This window comes from Homo sapiens, chromosome 13 (assembly GCF_000001405.40).
Source record: "Homo sapiens chromosome 13, GRCh38.p14 Primary Assembly".
NCBI lineage: Eukaryota > Metazoa > Chordata > Mammalia > Primates > Hominidae > Homo > Homo sapiens.
The window spans coordinates 102,729,216-102,751,871 of record NC_000013.11 but is presented as its reverse complement, the minus strand read 5'-3'; the positions used below and the strand labels follow the sequence as shown (position 1 = coordinate 102,751,871).

Below are 22,656 nucleotides of genomic sequence, written 5' to 3'. Positions count from 1 at the left end.
TGGGGTCCCCTTGGTCAAGAGGATGTCCATTCAGTCATTTGTGGGACTTAGCATTTCATTTTTATTTCTCAGTTCTACAAGTAATCATTTAGCACAAATAATTTTTGTGGTTGGGTAGATCATGATGGATTTCATATACTGCCTTCACTATTTTGATTGAGGGTTATTTAAAAGTAAAGTCACACTTACAGTAAAGTAAGAGATAATCTGTGTTCTCCAAACAAATAGCTACTAGAATTATCTGACCTATTTTATATGCATTTCAGTTTTTGATTTTAGGCTTGCTCATGCATCAAACAGTGACTATCGAAATTTATCATGTATCAGAATCAGCTGGAGAGTTTATTAAAGCTCAGATTTTTTGACCCCACCTTCAAAACGTCAGATTCCACAGTGCTGGGATGGGACCAAAGAATATGCATTTCAAATAAGTTTCCAGGTGTATTGTTAGGGTTCTCCAGAGAAACGGAACCAGTAGGATATGTGTGTGTGTGTGTGTGTGTGTGTGTGTGTGTGTGTGTGTGTGTGTATAAAGAGAGAGAGTAAGACAGTTATTTTAAATAATTGGCTTAAGCAATTGTGGTGACTTGCAAGCCTAAAGTGTGCAGTTTAAGTCAAAAGGCTGTCTGCTGACAGAATTTCCTCTTGCTGGAGTATGTCAGGGGGTTGAGGTATGAGTCTTTTGTTCTATCCAGGCCTTTAACTGATTGGATCATGCCCACCCACATTAGGAAGAACAATCTGCTTTTCTCACAGTTCACTGATACAAATGTTAATCTCATCCAAAACACCCTGGGAGAAACATCCAGAATAATGTTTGACCATATCTCTGGGCATCACTGCCCAGCCAAACTGACAAATAAAATTAACCATCACACCAGAAGATGCTGATGCTGTTGGTCTGAGCACTTCTTAGACTGAGACTAATCATTTGAGGTACATGGGTGTTGGCAAGTTCACATCATCCATGATCAGTACTCCGGCCCAAAATTGTACTGAGACGTGCTTCCCTAAAATGTAGGCTTTTCTTTTGATCTCAAAGAACTGTTAACATAATCTGGATTTATCTATAGACAGCTAGTTTATACTATTGGTATTCTTCTGTTGTACCTATTACATTTCCATAAGAATGTTTTCTTTTAGTGAAAACTTTCATATAGAGAACAGAAAAGATATTCCTTGTAAAATAATATAATCTTAATCCAGCAACTTTGACCCAATCTTGTCAAAAATAGACTTTTAGAGATGCTGAGGTATAGTCTCTGAGATATATAATTGATTTACTTCACTTTTTCCGTCGATTAGTTTATTAAGTGAGAAGAACTAGGTAATGAATTGTTTTGTAATATGGATAATGATTTTCCAATTTATCTCTATGCTGATCTGTTTTCATATACTATGCTGCATTTTCTTAAATCTAAAGGTAATTCTTATACGAAATATATTCTAATATTCATTTGTACACTGTTTTCTTATATTTCAGAGTTGGCACCTTTTTAGAAAAAAGAATTACTTCATCACTTACATCTGAAGAAAAGGAATGTAACTTTGAAGATAGAATTTTATTCTCACGTGAAATACTATGGTCAGGTACTAGTGAAAGTGAAGATCAAGTAAGTCCCTCTAGTGAAAGTCATGTGCCATCTTCAAATGGAATCAGCTCATCTTTGCCATTGTTTTATTCAGAAGTAGAGGAAACGTGTCTAAGCCATACAGAGCATCCAGACAGAGAATATGAAACAATACAATTTTCCTCCAAGAAATTATTTTCAATGATGAAAACCAACAAAAACAAAAATTCAGGATTTTCTTCTGATCTTAGCTTTTCAGCATCTAGATTCACTGTAGAAAATGAAGATCTAGATGTGGCACCTTGCCCTCTTGCCCACTTATTTCTTTCTAGAGATCAAGTTAGACTTCTGGAAGAAAATGTGAGGAATCAAATTCCTTCAAAACCCAAAACTAAGTTAGGGAGCAGAACTACTTATCAATGCTCAAGATCTCAAGAGTCCTTGAATCAGAATCAACCTTCTGTTGGAATGGTTATTTCTGTCCAAGCACAGGATTCTTTTCCAGGACAAAATGCTTTTCAGAATCAAGGTCTTTATGAAGTCCAATTTACTAGTCAAGCCCAATATATAAATCATAACCAAGAATCAATTAAGAGCCAGCCTGAGAGCAAAGCCAGCAACTTTGCCCAGCCTGAAGATGTGATGAAGAAGCCATTTTCTAGCAGCACACAAGACTCCTTCCAGTCCCAAGATCTGGATAGGAACCAACATTTTGTTGAAGTTCCATCAATTGTTGAGGCAAAATATTCAGTAAAGGGCCTGGAGTCTGATGAACACTTAGGTGAGGACCAACATTGTGTTTGGTTTATAGATTCAAACAAGGTTAAATATTCAATTAAGGGGCAAGACACTATTTTTAAGAATGCTGAATTTCTCGTTTTAACTCTGAATCCAAATTTAGTCACTGAAGATATGCCACAACTAAGGAGTGTAAAAGCACAAGGCCAGCAACAAATTGTTTCATCAGAATTGAACCAGGATTCTGTATATAGCTCAGTGCCTCTTTTGTCTACCATTAAAGGGCAGAAAAATAGAAGAAAAACACCAGACAGTAAAAGCAAACTCAGTCTTAATGTTCCATCTCTAAAAGCCAAAAAAACACCAACTTCACAAGTATTTCAAATCACAGTATGTCACACTTTAAAAAATAGGAATGAGTTAGGATGCAAGAATAACACTGAGAAGAAAGAATTACATGAAAGGAAAGATATATCAGATATAGCTTTGCATCTTATTTCTGTTTCCAAGCTTATTCTGCCTTATGTTAAAAATTATTCCAGAAAACAACTAGTGAAAGTCATGCCGGGTTTAATAAAATGTGGACATTTTCTGCAGAAGCAAAATAAGTCACCAGATACAGAGAAAATCAATTATGCAGGTCCTCTTGAGGAGACAGGAATCTCAGATATTACTAAAAAGGAAAAGGAGTATGACAAAGAAAACAAAAGACTAAAAAACATTTCACCAAAAATGTTACCTCAGCTAGAACAATCCTTCATGGTCAACACTGTTCAACTAAAAGCACCTTGTTTACTAGTAGAAACAAATGGGAAGAGTAAAGAATCTCTTAAAGACTCAATTACACAAGCAAAGGGAATTGGTATTACAGAATTTCATGTTCTAAATAGTAAAAAACCATTTGATCTCCATATTCCAAAGCACAAGACATCTTTAGAAGAAGCTATATCAAAACCTATGCAGAAACTTGTTTCCTCTCCTGAAATGGAATCGAACAATAGAATGAAAATACAGGAGGACCTACAAAGTTCAGAAAATTCCCATCTTCAACTTTCAAATGGAGAGGAGTTACCAACCAGTACACCAAAAACGCAAAGGTGCTTTCCAAGGGAAAATACACAGAAACAAAAAGATTTTTTGGAACTTGTTCTGGAGTTGTCAAATGTCGGTTTGCTCATTTCCCCAGGAAGCAAAATGCATAAAAGCAGTGAAGAATTAGAAGCCATAAAAATTCAAGTGAATACAGAAAGTGTAAATCTGAAGGAAAGTAAACCATTGATACTTAATGTTACAGAAGACAGTGACCTACGTGAAAGTGAGGAACTGGAATGCAACACTGGAAGTAACATAACAAATATGCATCAAGATAAAGAAACGTCTGATGCATTTCACAGTGCCACTTACACTACCATTTCTCAACTACCTGATACAGAAACACATAGCATATCAAAAGCCAAGGCAGACACATTAAGAATAATAAGGCTCAGTCATTCAGCATCAAAGCAAGAGAAATTACCAGATGAGAAGGAAACACAGAACGCAGAATACATTGATAAGAGCTGTACATTTAAAAAGCCACAACAATGTGATAGAAAGGAACAGGAGAAAGAGGCAAATTCAGAGCTGACACAAGGCTTCAGGTTCAGCATACATCTAAAGCAAAAGCCCAAGTATGTCAAATTCCAAATGGAACAGATCAGTTCAGGAAGTAGTAAAGCCCCAAATAAAGAGCAAGAAGTCCAACCACAAACTCTTTCTACACAAACTATTTTGGAGAATAGTCCATGCCCCATGATGGATCCATTTCAAGTTGAGAAGGTGAAGCAAAGCACAGATAGACCTACAGACAGAGAGAGTGCCGGAGATCCAAAGAATCCACTTACAATGCCAGAGAACTTGCCAGTTGGTGAACTTTTAATTGAAACAACAGAGTATAGTGTCCCATTTGGTGGAAACCTCCAAAAGACAACGGATAGTCATATTGCAGAAGAAAAGGAAGATGTAAAAAGATATTTACCTGCAGTTGCCCTGGGGTCTTTCAATAACCACTTGCTTACTTTACCATATTTTAAAAGGCAGGAAATTAAAAAAAAATTATCAGAAACAAAAAGTGTACTCAGTGTCAAATATGTAATTATGAAAGTAAAGAAGCCAGCAATCTCACTGATGCCTTATATTAATATATGTGGTACTTCAAACCACAGGAAAAAAATGGGAGGCAATTTTGAAATTATAATTAAACAGATACTGCAAGATAAAATTGCAGCAGGTATGCTTCTGAATGTTATTTACCCTCCCATGTCTATTTTGCCTAATACTAGAATGTATAGCAGATTAAATGCAGAGAATCACAGTCATATCAAGCTAGTCCAAGAGGAATCCCAAATTGAAAGGGAAGAAAAGTATCCATATTTCATTAATGAGGGAAATGAATCCCAAAACACACTAGATGCTAAATTGCAAGATGAAGTAAAAGGCGTCAAAGAAACTCTACCAAAAGCAGTCCTGCATGATAGCTGCAACCTTGGACTTGATGCACATCTAGAGAAGGAGATTAAAACAGAGAAAGAAATGCATCAACCAATCCCATTCACAGAAACTATTATTGAGTCTGTTGTTTCTCCCATAATGGAACTATCTCATGCTGAGAATGTGAAGAGTACTCAAAAAACACAAACAGACTGCAAATGCACTGCAGATTCAGAGACGCCTTCTCCAATATCAGGAAAATCACTGATTGGAGACCCTTTAAACCAAACAAGAGAAAGTTATATTCCAAGTAATGGAAGTGATACAAGAGAAATGGGTTACTGTTTTGCAGAAGAAAAGACAGAAATACCAAAAGATTTACCAGCAACTTCGCCAGAGACTTTCAATTATTGCACTCCTGTTTTATCTTGTTCTAAAGTGATGAAAAAGAGAGTAACATTTGCACTCACAACAAGTACAGCGAAGCCCAAATGTGTAAATACAAAGGCTGTGAAGCCATCAATCTCAGAGACAGTCAGTGTCACAAGCCACAGAAAGAAATCAGAATTAGACTTTAAGACTAAGTTTAAAAAGATAAACCAAACTAAAGGATTGGTACCTGAATGTCTAAATACCCTTTGCTCTCCAATGCATAGCAGATTGCAGAGAGAGTTCTGTCTCCCTGCGTCTCAATTAAAGCAAGGAGAAACAGCAGATAAGACATACACTGATGTCTTTGCTAAGAATAGCATATCCCATGACAGAGAGGAAAAATTGCAAGATGGAAAGGAAGAGGAACATAAAGTTTTATTAGAAGCAGCGCCACAGCTGAGCCAGCACCTGGGGTCTGAGGCGGGTCAAATGAAGGAAATCCATCTTGAATCAGACCCAGTGCTGAACTGTTTAACACTGGAGCTACATATTAATGGACAACGTTTGCAGCACCAAACAGGTTTTGAACAAACTACTTTAGAGACTAGTCTCCAAATGGGTCCTTTAGAAGCTGAAGAACTACAAAAAGCCAACGAAACAGAAAATGACATAAAAGTCCTTGGAGGTCCTAAGATTCCACCTCCCAAAGCTTTACAGGCTCTGGAGAACAGCGATGGCTTAATACTCAATGCATATCAGAAGGATAATGAGCTTGTCAAATCAGATGAGGAACTGAACCAACCAGGAAGTACAAATATTCAGGTACAACCACAAACACATTTTACACAAACTATTTTGAAGTCTACTTCATGCCCTACACTGGATCAATTTCCATTTGAAAAGGTAGAGAGTCATGTTAGGTTTTCACCTCTAAAGTCTGGGGAAGCAAAGGTTGATGAAATCATATTTTATGCAAGAGAAGGTGGTATCTCATCTGATTCTAGCCATCAAAAGGAACAGGCTGGTGGTACTGAAAAGAAAGAGACAGCGATTTTTGGTTCCTGCATGCCTGCTTTATCTACACCTAAAACGACGAGAAACTTAAAACAATTTTCAGACATGAAAACTTTAGTGAATCCCAAATGTGGAATTATAAAGGCAAAGAAGCCATCAATTTCATACATGCTCAATATCAGGGCTGGTGCTGGTCCGAAACGTAGAAAAGAACTGAGCTGTAACTTGACAACCAAAATGAAAGAACTGCATCAAGGCAAAAAGGGGGTAGATGAAACATATGCTTTCCTGACTATGACACCTGACATTAACAAGTATAGCAAGGTAGAAACAGAAAAAGACACGCTAAGAGAAAAAAGACTCAGTTCTACTCAAGTAAAGCAAGATACATCTCCACATGAAGATAGTATTACTTCACGTGACATTAAAGAAACCCTTCTTCAAGATGAAGAGCAAGAAGAAAGGAAACAGGAGGCATTGTTAAAAGTAATTCCACAGCACCTGCAACATTTCATGTTCCGTTCAGGTCAGGGGAAGGATCTTGACTTTCACAAATTAGAAAACCAAGGAAGTAGGAAAATTCTGTTTGTTACCAAACAAGATGTCCCACAGCAACTTCAGCCTGCAGAGCCAATACAAAGAGAGGAGACAAAGAAATGCCTCCAGACCCAAAATGGCACAATATGTACAGTAAATTCAAAACTTCTTCCTCTAAAATCAGAGGACTCAGTAAATGGTGAAGTTTTAACTGGTGCAATAAAACGTGGTGTACCAACTGATAGGAAATGTATGGGGGAACAGCACAATTCAGGTAAAGGGGAAAAGGCAGAGTTTAATAAAGATCTACAAGCAACTGTCCTGGAGTTACAGAAATCACCACATGGTGGGGAGGCACAGAAGGCCAATTTGACTGACATGGAAAGTGGATCTAGTAATGCAATGAACATGAATGTACAACATGAAAGGGAAGATAAAAATATTCAAAAAATGTTAACAGAATCAGTTCCATGCTATAGTCAACACCTCCGTTTCAGTACACATCAAATGAAAGATCCTGACCCTTGCAAATCAGGATCTGAACCGAAGAGTCCCGAAGGCAGATCTTGGAATTTGTCTCACATAGTGCAAAAAACAAAGCAAGAAACACACTTTAGAGAAACTGTTTTAGAGCCTATTTCTGGATACATGATGAAACAAAGTCCTCATATGCAAGAAGGAATAAAATGTATGGAAGGTCTAAAGACTTCATTTCCCAAAACAGGGAAATCAAAGATTGGTTCAATACCACGTGATACCCCTTGGGATGAAAATCCTAGAAGGAAATGGGATAGTTCTATTTCTGAGAAAACTGCATGGAATCAAAAAAACTTACAAACAGTCTTAAAACCTTTAGATTTCTCCAGCCTCATGTCATCTGAATATGAAAGCCGGAGCTATACATTAGAGTTTATAGGCAAGAAAAGTATGAGTCCCAAATGTGTAACTTTGAAGGCAAAGCAACTACGAATTTTGCAGTTGTTTAATATCATAAGATATTCTACAGAAAACCACAGAAAGAAAAAGCAACACCGTTTTAAGTACAAGATGAAAGGGAAGCAATGGTACACAAGTATAGGAGAGGCATTACTCAGTGCCACTGAATATGCTAAGAGTACAACATCCAAATCAATGATTGATAAACTCTTATACAATACAGCAGCGAGGTGCATTCTATCTAACAGAACACGCCGACAAAATCTGGATGGTCATATTACAGAGGAAAAGGAAGAGGTACAAGAAAATGTAGCTGCAATTTTCTTGGGTCTTTTAGATTTCTTCATGCCTGTTTTATCTGACTCTAAAAACCAGAGGAACACAGCACAGTTATCAGAAAAAGAAATTATATTCAATGCCAAATGTTTAACTATGAAGGAAAAGAAGTCGTCAATTTCACAGATACATAAAATCAATAGAGAGTCTACCAGAAAACATAGGAAGAAATGTAAATCCTATTTAAAAACTGTATCCAACAGAAAGTGCCAAGAAAATCATGGTCATATTACAGAGGAAGAGGAAGAAGTACAAGAAAACTCACCTGCAACTTTCCTGGGTCCTTTAGATTTCTTCATGCCTGTTTTATCTGACTCTAAAAACCAGATAAACACAATACAGTTATCAGAAAGGAAAATTATATTGAATCCCAAATGTTTAACTATGAAGGAAAAGAAACCACCAATTTCACAGATACATAAAATCAGTGGGCAGTTTACTACAAAACATAGGAAGAAACTTGAATCCAATTTAAAAACCAAACTGAAAGCAATGTGGCAAGGTGAAAATGTGGCTGATACATTTCCAAATACAACTTCCTTCACTCCAGATTCCTCTGACATTAAAAGGCAAAGTGGATTCCAAACAGAGATAGACATGAGAATATCAGGGTTAAGTCATACACAACCAACACAAATAGAGTCACTAGCTGAAGGGATAGCAAGGTATTCTGATCCCATTGACAAGAGAAGAACTTCCAACTTGGTAAAGGGAGCAAAACTACATGATAGAGAAAGTGGGGAAGAGAAGCAAGAACATCTTACAGAAATGGATCCATTCTATGCAGAAAACTTCATGGCAAACACATATCTTAGAAAGGATCGTCATCTTGGTAAATCAGAGGATGTGCTTTTGGGAGAAACTTTTTTCTCAAAAAGTCAGATTTACAAAGGGAATTCAGAAAAAAATGTAAAAATAGAAAAAAACAAAAATGGAAAAGAAAGTCTCAAAGTTGGGCTCGCAAGGATGGAGAAATCAGATAATTGTGCAGAACTGAGTGAGGCAACAGATGATGCCATATCAAACAAATATGATAAACAGAACATTGGCCATTCTGTTTTAAAAGAAAATGCTTTCTGTAATTTGGCAGCAATTGTCCCAGATTCTGTTGGCAGGCATTCACCTGCTTCAGAAGAAATGAAAAGACAGAATGGCAGACTTAAAATGGCTGACAGGTCAAGTCCCCAAGGTAGACCTTTGCAGGCAAAGCAATCAGCAGTTTCACAATCACCTGATACTGCAGGTTATGCTGTTGTAAGCAATAATAAGGAGCAGAAACAGAACTTTAAAGCCCAGAAGACAGAAGCAGAAGTTGATTTAATAGATCAAGAAGCAAAGATAAATGTTGCAGAAGAGTTTAATCCAGAATCTGTTTTTTTCTCTAAGATACATCCACTTCAAATTGAAAACAAGAAAGAATTTAAAACTGCAGACTGGAAAACAAGGGCAGATCCCAAGACATTTGCCCTGCCAAAGAAACAGCAAGAGCTGTGTGTCTCAGGAACTATCTGGAGTTATCCTAATCCCTACACATCTATTTCTCCTAAAATCATAAGACATAAAGATAAGGCAAAGACAGCAGATGTGGAAAGTACTATGCATACCAAACAGATAAAATTGAAGGCAAAAAGAATAACAGTTTCCCAGCTGCTTGAGTATGGTACTGCAAGCAATAAAAAAGAACTGAGAGGTAACATCCAGCAGCAGAAGTCATTCCAGCTGAGTAAAAATGCAGTACATCGAGTTCTAAAGGCTGTTTATGACTCTGGATACTGTGTGTCTAGCATTAAAAAGCTTACAGAAGTAAAAATGGAGAAAGACAAGCCAAAAGACAGGACATGCATTCTTCCACAGCCAAAGCTGGAGAAACCACTAAAAGAAATGCAAAGGTCATTGTCAGGTTGTACTGATATGTCCAGCATTCTTAGAAAACAGGAACAAGATATTAGAGAAAAGGAACAAAAACACCAAAGCATTTCAGAAGACATATCCCAATACTATATTGGACCGTTAAGGATTAGTTCACAACAAATCAATTACAGTAGTTTCGATGCCCCACGAATTAGAACAGATGAAGAACTTGAATTCCTCATTGCACAAAGAGCAAAGGAAAAAGATGTGGGCATTGCCAAACATTCAGTTTCAATTCCGTGGGAGAGAGAAGGATCGAAGAGACTAGATATTCCACTAAACTCAAAAGGACAGAATATATTTTTTACAGAGTTGGATACTTCTCAACAGAAGACTTGCCAGGAGCAAGAATTGCTGAAACAAGAAGATATTTCTATGACAAACCTGGGGTCTATGGCCTGCCCCATTATGGAACCTCTTCATTTGGAAAACACAGGAAAGGTAACTGAGGAAGAAGATGTGTACATTAACAGAAAAATTAGTTCACATGTATTGGGAAAAGAAGGATTAAAGGAAACTGATATATTTGTAGGTTCTAAAGGACAGAAATTTCTTTGTACAAATTCAGAGGTACAGCACAAAGTGCCTGCAGAGCAGAAAGAACAGGTGAATCCAGATCATGTTCCCGAAAGTATTCTGGATTCTGAATCTTTCCTCAGTAAGGACCCTCTTCACTTAAAACAGGCAGTGAATACAGCAAGAAAAGAAAATGTTACCATCTCTGAAAGTTTCAATGAAAATCTTTGGGGAAAAGAGCAATCAAAGTTGGATATTACATTAAAATCAAATAGACAGAAAATGGACTTTTCAAAAAAATTGAGGATGAAGCATCTAAGTAATTATTATCAGAATAAAGAGAATATTCTGGAATCTGTTCTCCCTTGCATATTGCATCAACTTTATATTGAAAATCCCAAGAAAGAAGGCTCAGCAGAAGAAATCATGAGTTCAAAAGTTCTAAGCCCAATGGTAGAGAAAGCATCACATGAAGTAGGTATTCCGGTGGATCAACCTCCATGTTCAGAAGGAATACATTTGAATATTAAAGGAAGAAAAGAACATCCACAAGAAAGTACACACGAGGCTTTTCCAGCATCTGTTTCTCACTCTTTAATGGACGTACTTCAGATTAAGTCACCAAAGGTAAAGAAAGCATTAAAGGCAATCAATAGTTTAGGGTACCTCACTTCAAATACAAAAGGAATTGGCTTGCTTTTTCCAAGACAGGCAGAAAAGGAAGAAAAATATACATACAAGGCTCTTCCAAAGCCTGCATCTCACTCCAAAACAGATCTATTTCAGTTCAATGCATCTATGCAACAAGAGAAATTAGATGCTATGGATATTCCACATTATGACTATTTAACTTCACAGACAAGAGAAGCAGTGAAACAAATGGATGTCATAGTTGGATATACTCAAAACAGTAAAAAAAGACAAGACTTACTCAAAACAGGCCAAAAATGGCAGTACCTACCAATTTCCTATGAGAACTTTTGGGAGCATATATCTTGCCCTCAAAAGTATCCCTGTCTCCTGCAACATTTAATGCCTCAGGAAAAGGAAGCATTATCAGAAGGAGGTAATTTATCAAGCCGGACACCAGGACTAGACTTGTTTTCTGCAGATCAGCTAAGCACTATAACTAAGAATAGACTAGAATGGATTGTGCCCTTGATTTCTCCAAGGCAGATGAAAAAACAAGATTCAATGCTGCCTTTAGGATCATACCATAAAACTATAAAATATGCAAGTCTCTTATTTCCAAAAGGAATGAAATCATCAGATGGGGTACAGGTCTTTGATTTAATATCAAATAATAGCTCACCCAAGTTAAGACTTGGGAAGAAGATAGAAACACAAAAGGCAAATGAAAAGGTACAAAAAGAAGTATGTCTGCCTATAACATTACATTCTCTTTCTGCATCCATGCCTATTTTGCAAGAAAGTAAAGGACAGAAGGATAGCGTAGAACAAGTTATTAGGAAAGGCGTGATATGCCACAAAAGGAGAACTTCGAAATGGAAGAAATCAGTATTTTCACATATACTCAATACCAGTGACTGTGGTGCCTCAAGTAACAGACTAGAAATGCAGTGGAACATGACAGACAAAATGGTCAATGTGAAACATAGAATGAGTGAAATAGATTTGGTTGCAGCAAAAATATGTGAGTCTATTCTTTCTTTACCTCACTTCAAATTGAATAAAGAAACAATTGATGGGGTGATCTCAAGTAATGTTAAAAGTACAAAACAACACATATCACAGGGAAAGAATGATAGAGTAAAAGCAATGGATATGAAAAGAATAAAAAGCCCTAACATCATTTTGAAGCCAAGGAAGTCATCACTGTCACATATACTCAGTATAAAGGAATTTCCTTTGCTGTTAGACATTATAAAACAAGAGGGCAAGATGCAAGAAGGTAAAGGTAAATCAAGTATGAAACTGACAAACTTGTGTACTTCTTTACCATCTCTATCACATAGTAATTCAAATTCAAGAACAAAAGCAGGTAAAGATAAGTCAGGAACTCTAAAGGGCTGCCTTCCACCACTAAAGCTCCAGGCATCATCAAATGCCAGAAGAGTATCATCTGCAGAGTCAATTAATAGAGACAGTTTAAGTAATGTAATAGAATCAAAGTGTTTTCCACAGAAAAAGAAGGAAGATAGAGAAAATATAGTAGATGTGAAAGATGTAATGGGCCTCAAATGTATCACTTTGAAAGGAAAGAAATCACTTTTTAGACATTTACTGCATGGAAAAGAACCACAACGGAGCAATAAAAAACTAGAGAAAATGACGCAGGAAGATGAAAGTAATCTAAATGTAGTTCAGAATAAACTCTGTGCTTCTATTCTTTCTCCACCTCACTTGGAATGGAATCCTAGAATAAAAGAGGTATACATGAGAGGAATAACAAGATTCTGTCTTTCATCATCAACACAGCAGGAATTATCAGATACAATGGAAAAATGTGAGCAGCCAATTGATGATAGTTTAAGCAGTATTGAAAAAGCAAAACATATGCCGCAGAAAGACAAAGACAGAGTGGAAAAGGCTTTGGAAAAAATCATGCATTCCAAAAGAATAGCTTTGGAGGTGAAGCAGCCTTCAATATTCCAAGAATTAGAGTTGAACATCAAAGAAAAAGGAGGAAAGATTCAGGAAGATAAAGAAGTTGAGATTTGGAGCAAACCTTTTGCTTCCATCTCTTTTCTACCTTACTCTAAAGTGGGCACAATAGAAGGAGAGGAAGCCATGAGAATAAAAATGAGATCCTCTTTTTCACAACCAAATCTCCAAGAGTCATCAGATACAGAGAAAACAGCATATGAAAAGTGTATTTCTGATAATATCTCAAACAGTGTAAAAAAGGCCCTAGAATCTATATTGCAAAAAGAACAGAGGCAAAAAATGGAAAAAATTAGGGCTTTGAAGAAAATGAAATCATCAATTTCACAGGGAATTCAGTTGGACATTAAAGAGCAAGAGAAAAGGATAGAACATATTAAAGGTGAACCAAGTGTGCTTCTGACAAATGCCTGCGCTTCCATTCCTTCTCCTTCTCATTTACAACTGGATACAAGGAGAGAAAAAGCAGAGTATGTCACTGAAATAACAAGATACTATCTTCCAGAACTATCACACCAAAAATCATCAGAGGCAGGGGAAAAAGCAGATGGAGTGGCCAGTAAGGGTGATATCACAATCAAAGTACAAAAAGCAAAAGATTACATGCAACAGAAAGAAGACGATGAAGTAAAAATATCAGCTAAGAAAGACATAATGCATCCAGAAGACAAAGGTCTGAAAGCAAAGAAGGCACTTTCACAGGACCTACCATTGAATACTAAAGAGCCAGGGAAAATGGATCAAGAAGCTCAGGAGCAAGGGAAAGAGGACAGAGAAGGTGAGGAGCAAGGGAAAGAGGACAGAAGAGGTGCAGGACAAGAAAAGGTTGATAGAGAAGACAAAGAGCAAGGGAAAATGGATCACGAAGTTGAAGAGCAACAGAAAGCAGATGGAGTAGGCATAGAGCAAGGGAAAATGGATGGAGACAAGAATGAACAGGAAAGAGTTCTGTTCCTATATTTGCCTTCCAATTCTTCTCTAACCCATTATATATTGGACACAAGAATAGAAGGAGAGGAAGACCAACAAGGAATAATCAGACCTGGTATTTTACAACCAAGGCACCAGAAATCATCAGAGACAGGGAAAAAAGCAAATGGGGTGCCCAGTGAGGGTGATAGCGCAAGTGAAGTACAAAAAGCAAAAGATTACATGCAACAGAAAGAAGAGGATGAAGTAAAAATATCAGCTGAGAAAGACTTAATGCATCCAGAAGACAAAGATCTGAAAGGAAAGAAGGCACTTTCACAGAACCTACCACTGAATCCTAAAGAGCCAGGGAAAAGGGATGGAGAAGGCCAGGAGCAAGGGAAAGAGGACGGAGAAGGTGAGGAGCAAGGGAACAGGGATGGAGAAACTGAAGAGCAACAGCAAGCAGATGGAGTAGGCACAGAGCAAGAGAAAAGGGATGGACACAAGAGTAAACAGGAAACAGTTCTCTTCCTACATTTGCCTTCTGAGTCTTCTCTAACTTGTTATGAATTGAACACAAGAAAAGAAGGAGAGGAAGACTTACAAGGAATAATAAAATCTGCTACTTTGCAACTAAGGCAGCAGAAATCATTTGATGCAGGGAAAATAGCACATACAAAGTCTTTTGGGGTGGATAGCTCAAATGATGTAAAAACAGTACAAGAATACAAGCCACAGAAAGAAGTAGATAGAGGAAAAACAGTAAGTGTGGATTATATAATGCAACCTGAAGGCACAATTTTTGAGGCAGAGCAATTATCACTTCCACATACACTCAATATCCCTGGCAGCAGTGGCTCAAAAACTAGAGAAGTACTAACAAACATAAAAGAAAAATTGAGACATGTACAGGAAAGAAAAAGTGAACTGGATGTGTTTCTGACAATACCTTCTCTATCTCACTGTAAATTAGACAAACGAACAGCAGGCAAAAAAGAGGAACAAGGAGTAACAAGATCTTTTCTTCCACCCTCATGGCACATGGAATCATCAGATACAGGGAAATTAAAATATACATTGTCATATTTGAATGATATCACAGGTGATTCAAACAGAACAAAATACATGGCCCAGATCCAAAAGGATAAAGCAAATATTTCAGAGAAAAGTGTAATGCATCCCGAGTACATAGCTGTAAAGGCAGAGAAATCACCCCTTTCCCATATACTAAAAACAAAGGAACTGCAGGTGAACATCAGTCAACAAGGGGAAAAGGCACAAGAAGGTGAGGTGGAAATAGTTGTACTTCTGAGCAAAACTTGTCCTTTTGTCACTTCTTCAGCTTTCCTTGAGTTAGACTCAATAAAAGAAGAGGAAGGTGAACCACGAATAACAAGAAGCTTTATGCCACATCTTGAGATCCAGGAATCATTGCCTTCAAGGCAAACAGCACCTACAAAGCCAACAGAGAGCCTTGTAAAGAAAGAGAAACAACTCCTTCCACAGAAAGAAGACAGAGTACAAACAGTATCCATGCATGGCCTGATGCACCCCAATGGTGCCGTTTTCAAGGCAAAGACATCAGCACCTCCACAAGTGTTCAGCATCACTGAGCACAGTCCTCTGAGTAAGAGAAAGGAGCCACAGTGGGGCATGAAAGAGAGAGCAGGACAGAAGCAGGACAGGACAGGACGTCCTCATGTGATTCTGACAAAAACTCATCCATTCATGCCTTCTCTCTCTCACCATAGATTCTCTCCTTCACAACCAAAGCTTCCTATATCATCAGGTGCAGGAAAAAGCAGACTTGCAAATTCAAATGAAGGTATTAGCTCACATAAAGTAATACTAAAAGCAAACCAACAAATGCCATATAAAGAGGCAAAGGACAGAGTAAAAATAGAAGGCAGGGAAGGTAGAATACTCCCCAAAAGGATACATTTGAGGGCAGAGGCACTCCCACTTGCACTTCTATGCAATGGAAAGAACTACTCTTTGCACATTGAAGAGCAAGGGGAAGGAGTACAGGAAAGCAAAAAGGAACCTGGAGTGGTTCCGAGGAAATCTGCTTCATTCCCTCCTCCTCCATTTTACCTGAATTGTGACACTAGAAGGAATGAAAAGGAAGGCACATTAGGAAAAACACAATTCAGTTTTCCACCACTAAAGATTCAGGATTCATCAGATTCAGGCAAAAAAGCATATACTGAGTCACTGCATGGTTACACATTAAGCAACTCAAAAGGACCAGTGCAACCCACAGCACAGGGAGAAGAGAAAGGTGGACTCAGAATAGATATGGAAGACAAAATGCTCCCCAAATGTACAGACCTGAAAGCAAAGCAATTACTACTCTCAGATATACTCAATACCAAAAAATTGCAGTGGAAAAGTAAAGAACAAAAGAGAAAGATTCAGGAAGATAAAAATAAACAAGTTAAAGGACTGCCAAGCATTAATACTTCTTTACTTACTCCACCATATCTTAAGTTTGATACAACAGAAGGACAGGAGAACGTGATAAGAATTGCAAAAGTGTCTCTCCCACAGTCACGGTCCAAGGAATCATCAGATGCAGGGAGAATAGCATGTCCAGAAGCAACCCATGGAGAACTTTCAAGTGATGTAAAGCAATTAAAAGCACACCTGCTACAGAAAGAAGAGAAGGATAGAGAAAAAGTTGCGGATATGACCAGTGTACTGGATCCCAACAAAATGTATTTGAAGGCAAAGAAATCGCCTGTCTTACATACGCACAGTTTCAGTGATCTTCAGTGGAAAACTAGAGAGCAAGAGGAGGAAAAGGTCCAGAAAGTTAAAAGTGGGCCAGGTGTCATGTTGTCTAAGAGTCCTTCTAGATCCTCCCCACTTCACCTTAATGTGAATACAGGGTTTCAGGAGGAAAGCATACCAATATTAACAAGACCCTCTTTTCCCCTAGTAAAACTCCAGGTATCACCAGATACTGAGGGAGGCACATGTATAAGGCCAATTGCTGGTGATATTTTAATCTATCTACAAAAAGGAAAACATGTGTCACAGAACAAGGAAGAGGATGACGTGCAAATAGTAAGCATCTTAATATTCCCCAAACATCAGGAAGAGAAGGTGCAGGAATGTGAAGGTGAACCAGGTGTGGTTCTGACCAAATCTACTTCATTGCCATCTCTATCTCAACTAGAATTGGATAAAGAAACACATTTAGGTAATGAAATGCTAAGACTTAAAAGACCTATTTTGCGGAGAATATCACACATAGGGGAGACTGTACATAGAGAGTCCGTCGTTGGTGATATCCCAAAAGATGTTAAAAATGAAAAGCAACATATCCCTCAAAAAGAAGAGAGGAACCAAAAAAAAATAATCGATATGAGAGGCACAGATATAACTTTGAAGTCAAAGAAGTCACCTCGTTCCTGTATGCTCCACAGAACAGAACTGCATGTGAACATTGGAGGGCAAGGACGAAAGGAACATGAAGGTCAAGATAAACCACCAGGTATGATTCAAAGAAAAATGTGCATACTCTTTTCCAAACCTTTGCCATCTAACCTTAAACTGGAGAGAGCTACGCATGCAGATGAAGAAAGGCTTGGAGGTAAGACATCCTTTGTACTTCCACTAATGCCATCAGCATTACCAGATACAGAGAAAACAGCAGATGCAGAGGCAAGGAGTGGTGATGTAAGAAAAGGAAAACCACATAGGTCACAGAAAGAAAACAGGCATGAAGTGAAAACGATAGATATGAGGTTCAGGATACACTGCCAAGAGGCAAGGATTTCACCAATGTCACATATCCTTAATGCAAAGGAATTAGTGTTGAATATTAACAAACTGGAGAAAAAAGTACACAAAGATAAAGATGAAGCATGTGTGGTTCTGTCAAGGACTTTTCTTTCTATACCGTCAGCACCTCCTCTTTATCTGGATTCAGGGAACAAAACAGACAAAGACACTCCAGGAATTACAGGATCATCTTGTCCACAGCGAACTCTCCATGTACCCTCAAATACCCAGAAAATAACAAATAGAGACTCAGTTGAAGGCGTTGATAAAAACGTTGTTAAGCAAGCAGAACAGTATGTGCCCCGCCCAGAGGCAGAGCAACAGTTGACCTCAAACTTCATGATCAGCGTCCAGCAAAGGAACCAACCTTCACGAGTCAGGTCAGAAGAAGATTTGAATCAGTTAGTTTTAAACTCACGGGATGAGGACATTTATTTCACAGGGTTTGGTACCATAAGAAGTGGGAAAAGGCCGGAATGGCTCTTTACAGGGAAAAAGGCTCAGCCTGTAAAATACAAAACAGAAACTTTAACTGCGTTTCTTTCCTATCCCACAATGGATGCAACTAAAATGGGAGGTCTGGAAGAAGACACTGAAATAATGGATAACTTAAACCATAAAATCAGTCCTAAGGCTTCAGTTTCACTGATAAGGAAAATATCTAAGGAACTGTATGTCACACTTGGCACCCCTGCAAATTCAAAAGGATTTTCTGTTTCAGAGAGATACGCTCACCAGCAAGAAACTTCATCGAAAGTATCTCCAGAACTTGCAGGTTCATGTAAATTTGATAAGCCAAAGGAAGATGGACAAAGTAATGATAGAATCAGCAAAATGTTTTCTCCCAAAGTGTTAGCACCACAGACAAAGGGATCACTCAAAAAAATAAGTATCGTCACCAACTGGAATGCCCCCCAAAATATAGAAGAACAAGATATTGTCATGAAAAAGCAAGTGATCCGACGGTGTGAACATGGGCACAAGACCAGGACGAACACTATCCTTTCTAAGTTTCCCCTTCAAAGTGGAAAGCAGAAGACACCATCGGAAACAGATGTGGACAAGAAAACAACAGCGCACCTCAGCCTACAGATGCTACCAGGAATACACATGGATATGACAGAGATTGACCCTGCAAAAGGGGGAAGGAAGCAGGCATTGCTCATTTCAGAACAAGAGGAAGGTGTTCTGGAATTTCTTCCGAAGTCCCTATTCCCTCCCTGGACTTTTCAATTTCAATCAGGGGATCTGGAGGAAAAACATCAAACAGACGCAAACACCAATATAAATCTAGAGCAGAAAAAATTAGAAATGGACAATGATAGTACTGTGAATCAGAAAGAAGGGAAATTAAAAATAGGCACAAACAGAGCTTTACATCTGCAAGAAGAGAAAACAGAGATGCACAAGGCCAGGACTGCCAATCTGGAGAAGGAGAGAGGAAGAATGGACACAAGCAGTAGTGCACACCCGCATCTTCTATCTCTAAAGGCAGAGGAATCTCAAATGAAGACTCAAGTCATCACTCATAGGGAGAACAGCCGCCTAATCATGCAAAAGCAGAAAAAAGAACTAGAAGCATCTAATGCAAAACAAAGCATTCAACTACAAAAATTATTTCAAAGAAATGTTCTGGATTCATTTTATTCATATGTTCCTCTTTCTCCCAAACGTAAAGATCAGAAAGGCAGATTAACAATAAGAGATCTGAAAAGAGAATTGAGCACCAAATATTTAACTATGAAAATCCAGAATCACCCAATTCCACAGATGCTTAATATCACGGGGCGTGGTACACCAAGCAATAGAAAGAAATTAGAGTATGATGTTAAGTTAAAGAACATAGCTTCGTGGAGTAAAGATGTCTCAGGAATATTTATCAGAAGTCTTTCTATTTCCATCATGCGTTCACCTCACACTGACCCTAAGACAAACCTAGAAAGAGAAAAGAGAATCTGTCTTCCTAAATTCCAGGAAAAATCACCAAACACTAGTGAAATGTCTAAGAGAGACACTTTAACAATTGTAAAAGGGGAACAGAATTTTACAAACACAGTTCCACAAGATCCCCAGCCCTTTGCAGTGGACAAACAACAAATGCAGAAACTTCCTAATGTCAAATCAGAAGCAAACCTCAGAAGTGAAATGAATAAAAAATACTTAAAGGCACAAACAAAAGAACGGATTGTTCCAGAGCATGATGTCTCAAGGATCATTAAAAAACCAGACTTACGTATCATCGAGCAGGAAGAAAAGATTCTAAAACGCATTCTGACACCCACAGAGTGTCCATCTATGCTTGAAGATCCAAAGTTACCCAAGCAAAGGGATCAGAGTGAACCAGTATGGGACATGACCACACAAAAGGTTCAGCAGCAAAAAGCTTTCCCAGGAACTGTGCCCATACCGCCTCAAGTTAAAAGTAGCGAAGTCAAAATAGTTGCAGACAGTACAAATGCAGAACATTTACTTCCCATTTGTGAAGCAACCAAAGCTATCTCTGAGTCCCAGGTTAAAAATATGATCCAAGACAAAGTTTCTTCTGATAAACTAGATAACATACAAGCCTATAAGCCTGACGACTTGAAGTCACCACCTTTTCCAGAGGGTCCAGATACAATATCAACAGCAATATATCCCAAAACGCAGCACAAATCCCTTTTAGAACAGTTTACTCCCAAAGAAAAAAATAAGCTTACTAGTCATTTAGAGTCAAAAGCACTTGAAATACAACTGAATCTGATACCAGAGATGGCAAGGAAATCTTTACAAATGTTCAACTTTTATCCAAAAGGGACTATTTCAAAAGATAACAGTTGGAGGTTCTATTCTAGACATAAAACAATGAACTTTATGTCTCTAGAAGGGACTGATACCATAGAACCTAACTCAAAACATAAACACCAAAAGGATTCACCTCTTGCCAGCAATATGAAGACACTGATTGTTGATGTTTCAAGTGACAGTGAGGAGACAATCACAAAGCTACAGAGTATTAATAAGCTAGAAAATGGAACATCTGCAGTGACTTCTGCTAGTGAGATGCTATTGCCTCATACCCTCCAAAACCACTCAGTAAAAGAAAAAGGCAAACTCCTCATGCACTTTTCTGTGAAAACATTGGAGATACAAATGAAAGCCTTTCCCAGAATTGTAAGAGAATCTTATGCAATGACCAGTGCTCATGAGAGAAAGAAACCCTTATCTAACTGTATTCATCCTGGTTTCACAGGACCAAAACGACAAAACAGAATTTTGTTACTTTCTGAGGAGAAATCTCTCCATCAAATAGATCTTGATTTACAATACAAATACCTTCGTTTTCTCCTGGGGCTTCCTGTTGGAAGTACGTTCCCTAAGCCAAATGTACTTCCCAAACATAGTAAGTTAAACACAATTGCAGTGTGTAAAAACGTAAATGCTGGTGGACAAAGTGGTAGTCTTTCCATTGATACAGAACTGTTAGAACAACATATTTCTTTCAAAAAGCAAAGTCCCCATGAAAACTCATCACTCATCAGAAAATTCCCACAGCCAACCCTTGTGTGTGCTTCTGACCGTGATCTGCACAGCCCGAGGAAGAAAGATACTCAAGTTCTTTCAGAGTCAGAATTCCATGTGACTCCAGAAAAAAACAAACAATATCATGTATGGTTTCAAGAAAGAAATACATGTGAATCTGTTGATTTAAGGACCCAGAGAAATGCTACTGGTTCAGCTGTTTCATGTGAAACTCAGATTTCTGAAGATTTTGTTGATATTCAGACAGATATTGAGAGTCCAGCTGACTTGGACGAGTGTTCATGTCTTGAAGTAAGTGAGAGTGAGGAATGTGTGTTTCTGGAAGCCAACTCTTATTTAAGTCAGGAATCAGAAAACATTCTATTTGAATTACAGACAGGCATTCCTTTGGAAAATGTCTACAAAATCACGACTGATTTGAAATCATTTTACAGTGAAGATTCAGGTTCCCATTGTACTAGAGAGTGCAGAAAGGAAACCTTAATTATTACACCACCTTCCTGTAAGTCCCACAAAAGCAGGAAATATAGATCATCTTCCAAAATGAAATCTCCTGACTGGTTGTGTCATAGTTCATCAAATACTGCGGAAATTCAGTCTAGGTCATCTAGTGTATCATTCAGTGAAGAGAAGATTTCATGGACTACCAAGAGCAGAACAAGTTACTCTTCAGCTCCCTTAACTGAATCAAATATTAAATCACATCTTGCAAAAAACCAAGGCAAGTCTCACAGGCACCCAGAAAGCCAAGAAAGAAAGAAGGCCAGATCTGATTTATTTAGGAAGAACAGCAGTCATTGGGACCACGATTACAGTTGTACACACAGCAAAGGGAAACGTGACAGAAAGAAGAGAGTGTATGATTATGAGTCAGAAAGATTGGATTGTTTCCAAAGCAAACATAAATCAGCATCAAAACCTCATCATGACGATATCAACTTCTATTCTGAAAGAAAACAAAACCGGCCCTTTTTTTTTGCCTGTGTACCGGCAGACTCACTGGAGGTTATACCCAAAACCATTCGCTGGACTATTCCCCCTGAAACCTTAAGGAAAAGAAACTTCAGAATTCCCCTAGTGGCAAAGATTTCAAGTTCTTGGAATATATGGAGTTCCTCCAAAAAGTTGTTGGGGTCGCTCTCGGGGTCCCTTACTACCGTTTTTCATAGCTGACATTACCATAGCTAAACTCCTCTGAAGTGGACAGCTGGTCGCTATTGTGATATTCTGTGAAAAATACAATCATATAACATCCAATGGCTTCCTCGTGAAGTGTTTTTATATAAAGATAGAAAGTAATCCAATCTTCCAATGATAGATTGAAATTTGTTATTTATCATTAGCAATTTAGAAAGTTCAGGCACTTTTACTGATTCTGGCAATTTTGCATACCATTTCATCAGGAACC

The 22,656-nt window shown here is 38.0% G+C and overlaps 1 protein-coding gene across 2 annotated transcripts in view; it reads left to right on the top strand.

Moving 5' to 3' along the window:
• LRTM3 (leucine rich repeat transmembrane protein 3) overlaps positions 1-22,505 on the top strand; it is a 29,706-nt gene extending 7,201 nt beyond the window's left edge. Inside the window, exons 4-5 of one of the 2 annotated variants that reach the window (XM_011521106.2) lie at positions 1,484-2,352; positions 2,473-22,505. In XM_011521106.2, the coding sequence (XP_011519408.1) occupies positions 1,484-2,352; positions 2,473-22,421 (20,818 nt within the window). In that variant the 3' untranslated portion in view covers positions 22,422-22,505. Of the gene's footprint in view, positions 1-1,483 lie in introns of both variants that reach the window. The other variant, NM_001146197.3, reaches the window with a different exon arrangement.